The 8998-nt window shown below is 40.3% G+C and overlaps 1 long non-coding RNA gene across 2 annotated transcripts; it reads right to left on the minus strand.

Moving 5' to 3' along the window:
• Nucleotides 1–3635: 3635 nt before the first annotated feature.
• Nucleotides 3636–8759, minus strand: LOC105375266 (uncharacterized). 2 transcript variants are annotated; one of them, NR_187896.1, is made up of 4 exons: nt 8427–8759; nt 6792–6876; nt 5024–5124; nt 3636–3768 (listed from the first exon to the last, which is right to left on the minus strand). It is a non-coding gene; the product is annotated as an uncharacterized LOC105375266 (long non-coding RNA). The 2 variants fall into 2 exon arrangements; NR_187898.1 differs by lacking the exon at nt 3636–3768 and adding an exon at nt 3842–3949.
• Nucleotides 8760–8998: the final 239 nt, after the last annotated feature.

The raw sequence follows: 8998 nt of genomic DNA on the forward strand, positions 1-8998 counted from the left end.
GCCACTATTTTGCTTTTCTTCTCTATGAATTTAATTACTCTAAGTACCTCCTATGAGTGGAATCATACAGTATTTTTTGTGACCAATTTCATTTAGCATGATGTCCTCAAGTTTCATCCATGTTGTAACATGTATCAGAATTTCATTCCTTTTTAAGGATGAATAGTATTCCACTACATGTACATACCACATTTTGCTTACTCATTTACTCACCAATGGTCCACTTTTTGCCTATTATGAATAATGCTACAATAAACCTTGGTGTGCAAGTATCTGTTTTCATCTTTGCTTTCAGTTCCTTTGGGTATGTGCCTGGAAGTGAAATTGCTGGATCATATGGTAGTTCTATTTTCAATTTTGAGGAATCACCTAACTATTTTTTACTGTGTTTGTATTATTTTTACATTTCCACCAGCAATGCACAGGGTTTCAGTTTCTCCACATGCTCATCAACATCTGTTATTTTCTTCTTCTTTTTTAAATAATAACCATTCTAATGAGTACAAAGTGGCATCTGATTGTGGTGTGATTTGCATTCTCATAATGATTAGTGAGATTCAGTGTCTTTCTATATGCTTATTGACTATCTTTATATCTTTGAAGAATTGTCTTAATACATTTGCTCACTTTTGAATCTGGTTGTTTTTTGTTGTCAAACTATAGGAGTTATTTGTATATTTTGGATATTAATCCCTTATCAGATATGACTTGCAAATATATTCTGTCATTCTGTGAGTTGCTTTTTACTCTGATGATAGTGTTATAGTTTTGAATTTTGATTAAGTCTGCTTTATTTATTTTTTCCTTTTGTTGCCTGTGCTTTGGGTGCCCTATCCAAGAGATAATTGCAAAATTTAATGTCATTAAACTTTTCCCCTTTAAGACTTTTTGTTTTAGCTCCTACATTTTTTTCTTTGATCAATTTTGAGTTAATTTTCGCATATGGAATAAGGTAGGGATCCAACTTAATTTTTTAAAATCATGCCCATCTTTGGAATTAAGATAGCATGATTTTAACTTCAATGTTATTATCACCCTCATTTTTCTAGTTTTAATTTTTATTTTAAGTTGTGGGATACATGTGCAGGACTTGCAGGTTTGTTTCATAGGTAACAACTTGTGGCATGTGGTTTGCTGCACCTATAAACTCATCACATAGGTATTAAGCCCAGCATGCATTAGCTATTTTTTCTAATGCTCTCCCTCCCTCCACCCCACTCCACCCTCTGACAGGCCCCAGTGTGTGTTGTTCCTCTCCCTGTGTCCATGTGTTCTCATTGTTCAGCTCCCACTTATAAATGAGAACATGTCGTATTTGGTTTTCTGTTCCTGTGTTAGTTTGCTGAGGATAATGGCTTCCAGCTCCATCCATGTCCCTGTAAAGGACATGATTTCACTCCTTTTTATGGCCGCATAGTATTCCATGGTGTATATGTACCATATTTTATCTTGCTGAAATAAGGCAGGCAGACATGATTAGAGAAAAAAGAAGGAAAAGGAATGAACAAAACCTCTGAGAACTATGGGATTATGGAATTATCTTCATTTTATTCATAGGGACACAGAGACTTGGAGTAGCAAATTCCTCATCCACCAACTGGATAGTGACAATGACGATGCAAACACAGTTCTCTTTATACCAACCTCAGGCCCAGAAATAGTCCCCATATATGTAACAGAGTTAAGAGAGCTCAGGCCAAAGGTAATTAATCTGTGTTTGTTATATTCATATTATAAAGTATATTCATGTAATAGGATTATTCCTGTAATATATGTAATACCCATCACTTGTTTGTATTTATATTTTAATATTAGTAACCAAACAAGGTCATTAAAGCAAAATTAACTTTTGGATTTGTCAATAACTTTTAACATTTGCTATCCTTTGTTTGCTAGAGTACATATAAACTAGGATAAACATAATTAGGGAGAAATCATCACTGATAGGACTATCTCAGGAGGTTGGCAAGTCACCTGTTCTGGCACTCATAGTTGCTTACTGCATAGAGCTCTTTATTGTTGGCAAAGCATGTGCATCTTCCATGTCATTCCTTCGATTAATATTTATTTATTGAGTGAGGACAGTTTATCCATGGGTACTCTGGGCACTGAGTTGAGGGAGACCACATTTCTGAACTTGAGAACTCAAAATTTCTAATCGGAATTATTTCTACACTGGTGTCTGGTAGTACCAATGGGTGCAGGATGTGGGGAAGCATTGAGGGGCTCACCCAATTCACATCTTAGGGATAAGAATCAGAGAACACTTTGTAGAGAAGGTGTCAGCCCAGTGAGACTGTTAAGGATGAATAAGGGATAAGGAGAGTATTTATTGTGTAGCATTTATGTGGGTTAGAGACTTTTAAAGATTATAAGCTAATGTCCTTCTTACAGTAAACCTTTAGAGTAGGTTCTCTTATTTTAATTTTACAAATGAGGATACTGACTCAGGTAAGATGACACAGCACGGAAGATGCGCAGTCAGGATGAAGAGAAAGACATACCAGGTAAGTGAACAGTTTGAGCTAGACTGGGGACCAGGGAGGCATGAGTCTGTCTGAGGAACATGGAGAATAAGTTTCTTTTTGTCTGAGAAAATAGGGATGTGAGTTGGCTGTGCAAGTGGAGTGACAAGCTGATTTTAGGAATTTGGACCTTTTGCTTTAGGCAGGGGATATTTAAGTCTCAGTGGATGTCTGTCAGGGGCATGAAGCTCCTGAGACGTGCTTGCAAAATACTGGGTATATATCCTGGTGTGCATTTCCTTGGTTAAAAAATCATAGCTTTTATGAGATTCTTAGCAGATTACAAGATTAACAGACCCAGTGCATGACGGAAAATCACAAAAGACCCTTAATCAAGGGAACAGCCTTAAACAGATTTCACTGGTGGCCACACAGAGCAAGGTCAAGGCAGGGTGGGGGGTGTTGCTATTGTTGTGTGATAACAGGCAGATCCCCTGGGTCCAGCCACCCTCCTTACAGGTTGACCCCCTTGGTGGACACGAAGTTCCATGCAGGAGCACATTGGTATTGTAATTCAACCTAATGTCCTTCACATGGACCCAGGGCCTAGAAAAGTGGTAGCTGCTTAAGTGCAGTTCATTGAATGAAATGAAAAATGTGTCTGTGATGGTTGGATACTTCAATGAAGGTAAATATTAAGAAATAAAACAAGTAGCAAGTCAGGAACTGAATAAATTTAAATAAAGGCAAACTAACCAAAAAAAACAAGTGGAGGATGGACCTCAAGGTCACTAGAAGCCGGCAATATTTGTTTCCTAGTCACAGCTTTTCTCAAGTTGAACACATAATGGCAGTTCAAATATTCCAAGTGTGAAGGGCAAAATATGAAATATTTGCAATGAATTAACAGAGAAGAAAGAATGTGGAATTTGATGGCAACAGCCCTGGAGTCCAGCCCACTGTCTCATGTTTGCTGTTGGAGGGCCCACTGCATGTCTCAGGGACTCAGGTGTCCTTAAAGAAAATCCTAGAAAACAATCTCAACCTACTTACAAGGTGACTATCTCTCTGGATAAAAGGAGACACGAATGCAAACAGGAATTGTTAACTGGAAAGCTTTTATAAATGTGATCGTGAAATAACTAAAGTAAACTATGAATGATACATATTACTATCCAAATATGCAAATGTTTTATTAGTAATAGAAACACTTCTAAAATGGGTTCGCCGTGTGGCACTCAAAACAAACGTTTTTCTTGAACTAGTAGACCAGGAAGTAGGGAGAATGTTACCTTGAGTACACCTAAAAGAAATAGGGTAGTGATAAACTAATAATAATAAAGTGTGACTGAAAAGAATTGTCTGTTGGGCCATCAAAAAAGAACATTCTGTTTTCCTTTAATTAGCTCTTGTCACTTTTTCTCCTGTCAAGAAAAATGTGGTGCAGACATACATCTTTTGGGATGATCTCAAACTTCATTCTGCTGCTGGGCATTGTTTGCAGGGAAAAAAATTAACTTTTCAGATGTTACATATGAAATAAATAAAAGATCGTGTTCTACACTCATATTCTAGTTTCTGCTGGGAATCACTGCAGACTGTTTACATGGGTCAGGATGAATTCTCAAACACAGAAATAGGTTGGATCTTATTCCCGTTTTGGAGGATTGAGGGCCTGATAGGACAATACTTGGAAGCAAATCATAGTTTTATTTCTTTAGTGTAAAGGAAATTTGAGGTCCTGGGATACAGTAGGTGCCCAACAAATACTTAACCTCTTCGTAATAATTTAGTTAAGTTGTTACTACAAACAGGGAATGATATAATGATCAGAGGTGAAATAAATTTGTGAGCACCTCCTCCAACATAAATCTCATTTCAGATTCAGTAAACACTTATCAAACGTCCACTTGTGCTGACAGTATGTTAAGAGTGAGGTGTATAAAACGGTATCACCTCTGGTGAGGGGCTTGCAGGCAGATTAGCAGGAGAAATAGATAGAGAAGCTTAGATCATACCAACTAAGTGCAAAGTAGGATCTGACCAGTGCTCAGTAAAAGCACAGAAGAGGATGAATCCTGGTTTTTCTTGGAGTTTGATGCATGGTATTTTAATTATACCCAGGATTTGTTTACAACAGACACAGACACAGAAATGACTGTCATAATGGAAGAAGTTTAAGCTCACAGTTCCCTGGAAGCAGGAGGCATGACATACCACAAGGGGCTTAGGATGAGCTAGTTTGAGTAATTTCAGCAGGGTCTGGAGTATTGACTGGGGCTTTTGTCTGTCACCTGGCCCTGGGGTAACTAAGAAAGGCCAACAGCAGCCCTGAGTGGAACAGCCTTATAAAGGAGGTGGGGATGGGGTAGCGGAGATGGAAAGGTATGGCCCAGAAAAGCTGGAGCCTTTAGGAAGGAAGAAGGAAGGCAGGATATTGCAACGTTTGCAAGGACTTTGAGGCTTCAGTGGGGGCTGCAGAGAACAGACGGGCAGGGGACCTCGGGTCTGGTGGGTGTGAGGAACAGGAAGAGAAGAGGAAAGTCACTCCTGCCCACCTGCTCTAGTTTCCTACCAGAGTAGTCTATTTCCTCTCGCCAGCTTATCTCATGAAACAGCTCTTGATACTTCCAAAATGTGGAATTGGGAAAATCTGCCACTGAAAGAGAAGAATTAAAGAATAAAAATAGGATGACTTAAAATGAGAGCTTACAGAATGGGGACAGAGAAACCTGACTTGAAACCCACCTATATCATGTCATTGACTGACAGAGAGAGTTACTTATTCTCAATTATCTAAGCCTCAGTTTCCCTATCTGTAAAACAGAGATAATCACAACACATGTGCTTTGAAAGAAATAAATGAGTTAAGTCATGTTCACTCCCTGTGGCCATTCACTAGAAGTCACTGTATGCTCTCTTGTGGTTAGCCACATGTGGACCCAGCAGGGCATTTAAAAGCATTTCACTGGATAGCATGTGACTCACTTTGACCTGAGCTTTCTGCAAGGCCATGTGTGCATGAACTAGTAATGGCAAAAAGAAAGTAATCGCTGAAGCCAGTGCCAACAGAGACCAGTAAGTCATGACCCAGTTATGTACACTAGGCATTAAGGGTTATTTTTCATATGAAAGTTCCAAAATATTTCCCCATATATAACAAGTCATTCTCTCAAAATACTCTACAAGGGAGGTATAATATCACCTGTTTAACAAAGAGGAAAAAGATGCCAAAAGAAACTAAGTGTGTCAAATTCTCAAAACCAACTCATCGGTGATACCTACCTGAACACAGGATGCTAATTTGAAGTCTAACACATCCCCCCAACCCTTAGTCACTGTGTGAAAAATGGGAACAAGTGTGCAATTTGCTTTGCAAAGAAAGGGGAGAGAGGAAGGGCAGGGGTGGTTCCATGTTGTATGAGTTTGAGAGGTGCTGGCTCCTGCAATACCACGCCCTCCTCCTGAGATGCCTATGACCAGTACCACAGTAAAAACTGACAAGATTTTCCCAGAAGGAAGTCACCTTAACTTTGAGCTAGCATTTCCCAGTTATTCTACTGAAGTTACATCTTAAATAACATGTTAATGTCTGCCCTTGGGAAATGCTGATAAGTTGTGTTGTCATGTCATTACAGTTGCTTTGTTTTAAAACAGTTATATTTGAACCCCTTTTCCACATTATTATTATTGTTTAGACAGAGTCTCACTCTGTCACCCAGGCTGGAGTACAGTGGCACAATCTCAGTTCAGTGCAACCTTCGCCTCTCGGGTTCAAGCAATTCTCCTGTCTCAGCCTCCTGAGTAGCTGGGATTACAGGTGTCCATCACCACTCCCGGCTAATTTTTTTTTTTTTTTTTTTAGTAGAGATGTGGTTTCACCATGTTGGCCAGGCTGGTCTTGAACTCATGACCTCAGGTGATCTGCCCACCTTGGCCTCCCAAAGTGCTGGGATTACAGGCTTGAGCCACTGTGCCCGGCCACAGATTTTTATTATTATGTTTTATTTCCTACATTTCAACAAATGGATTCTCTTTCCATTCAAAGTTTTGTTTTGATGTTCAATGAAATGCACACTTAAATGAGAAATTTCCTCCTAGACTCACTGAATTTATTCATACAAATTAGAATAGCAAGGATTTCTTGTGGATGCTGTATTACTTGAAATCTGCAAATGATGTTTTTATGCAGAAAGAAAAGAAACTGTTAAAACGTATCTCAAAAAAGCAACAATGCCTAATAAAGATAAAATACAAAAGTTTAAATAATTGTATAGTTAAAGAAAGATTCTTATTAGATTCAAGATGAATATCTGTTTTAGTTACCTTTCTTTAGCAAGACTATTTTCCCAAATTCAGCTTCTGTACTTGGATTCTCACACTCAAATCCCGCTCAGCAGTGTGGGCCTAACTGGATACAATTTACATGGCCATTTTCCATTAATTATTTAATTGATTAGCCACATGTAATATGAAATATGTTTTAAAAGGCAGAAAACTGTAAATGTTAAATTTATTTATTTAAATGCGACACTTAGCCTCAGTAACCAACTTAACCTCTTGCTACATTTGGACTTTGGAATCGCCATTGGCCGAAGTACTACCATCATCATTAGATAATTTAGCCAAAGTTAATACCAGGGTCACCATAACCATCCAATTAGAAGTAACATATCCCAGTCCAACTATAGAAAAGCTATTTCTTACAGCACTATCGCAAGTCATAAGGGATGTCCCAATCTACATTTTATATGAACCCCAAACCCTGTGAGGGTTTTTCACAATGTAACTTCAAGAAGCCAGTTCCCCCTTTGCTTCACATATCACTGAACAAAAGGAATTTTCTTGGAAACTTTATCCAACATATTCTGGTTATTAGTATTATGTTTGAGTTTCTATTAAAATCTGAGCATTTGGGGCATTATGTTCTAAAACTATGGATTTTATTGAATTCTGTGCCTGTTTTAGTGGCTTCCTCTGACACTTCAGCTGAGGAAGTGGCCCACTGCCTCTACCTCGCCAGATGGGGTAGAAGTCAAGATTCTCCACCTGGGTCTATTTACACTGAGTGTGGGGAGAGACTCCTAGTTTTTCTGGGTGGAGGGGGGGGGTCGTAAAATCCATGAGGCCTCTGCTATTACCTGGGCAGGAGAAGAGGTTCTGCCTTTTAGTGCTTCCCCAGAGGCCTTCACAGACACCCGGCAAGGGGTCTTGGCCTCCTTACTGCTGGGCAGGGGTGAAAGTTCTGACATGTCTCTGGTGGAGCAGGAGGACAGCCTAGTAGTGGTGGAAGCCCTGCCCCACATCTGCCCCACATGTGTGTGGTTTCTGTTACACTGGGGAAGAGGGGTGGCATCCACTAGGTGAGGATATGAGTCTCATGTCCCTATTCTGCGTTCCCTAACACCTCCTCAGCTGCAGGTTGGGGTTGGGACACTTCCCTGCAGCCTATTGTTCTGGCCAGTGAGGGTGGAAGTCTGGGGTCCCTGCCTGGCTTTTCCTGGCCTGGGTGGAGGTGGGGCCACAGTTTTTCCCTGGTATTTGGCTGGAGTGGGGACATTATTGTCTAAAAGTTTCCTGTGTTGCTAGGCTGCCCCTTTCCTGGTGCTTTGGCTAGACACAGCGAGCTTTTTCTTGGGGGATTGCATTTATTTATTCATTTTGTCTGTGCCTGTTGGCCTTTCCTCATTGCTCACTTGTTGAGATCCAAGTCTGTAACATGTGATGCAAAAAGAAAAAACCAGGGCACTCACCACCACATCAGGCCTTGGGTCTGAAGGTCCCTTCCTGGGCTGCCTTCTCTCTCCCTGCCAGTGTCTTTTTATGTTGGTTCATAAGAGACACTGGCAGGCAGAGAGGCATTATGTGTAACGCCCAAAAGTTTTTGTGGGAAGAATTGGGAAGTACATGTGCTCCTCTTTCTCAGTTCAAACCCTTAACCACTGCTCATTTGTAACTTACTTTTCTGCCATCTGGAATCCCCAGAAAAAGATAAATCCCACTCACTGCCCTTCCACATAGGAGCTTTCCATATTTGAGAAGAGCAGGGTTACCCTCTGAGACTCCTCTCTCCAGGCTGCTGCCCGTGTCCTGGGGAAGCACGACCTCTCACCCAAGCAAAAAATCCCAGCGTGGCCTAATCAGGTGAAATAGTTCACAGGCGTCCTCTTGGCCACAGGGCTCCAATCGTAACAGGTGATGTCTACTATCTAATCATCAATTGAATCATACTGAGCTTGTAATCAACCCATAAATAGCTGGAGGTCTTATTCCTATGAATGTCTAAGCTTTTCTAAGTCCCTGTTCTTGCAGGGTTTGGGGCAGAACTTTCCTGCCTCTGTGATGTTTCACTTGTTTGATTTGGGTCATTGTGTCATCGATAGTGCCCCCATTGTGAACACCTGGGCTGTCTCCTACTGGAGACTTGCAATCCACTGCCATTTCTGTCCTTTAAAGAAGATGAACTCATAAAGGAAAGGCTACTCTAACCAGCCCTGAAATGTTTGTGAATTATTATATATGATTCTTATTAA

This window comes from Homo sapiens, chromosome 7 (genome assembly GCF_000001405.40).
Source record: "Homo sapiens chromosome 7, GRCh38.p14 Primary Assembly".
Taxonomy (NCBI): domain Eukaryota; kingdom Metazoa; phylum Chordata; class Mammalia; order Primates; family Hominidae; genus Homo; species Homo sapiens.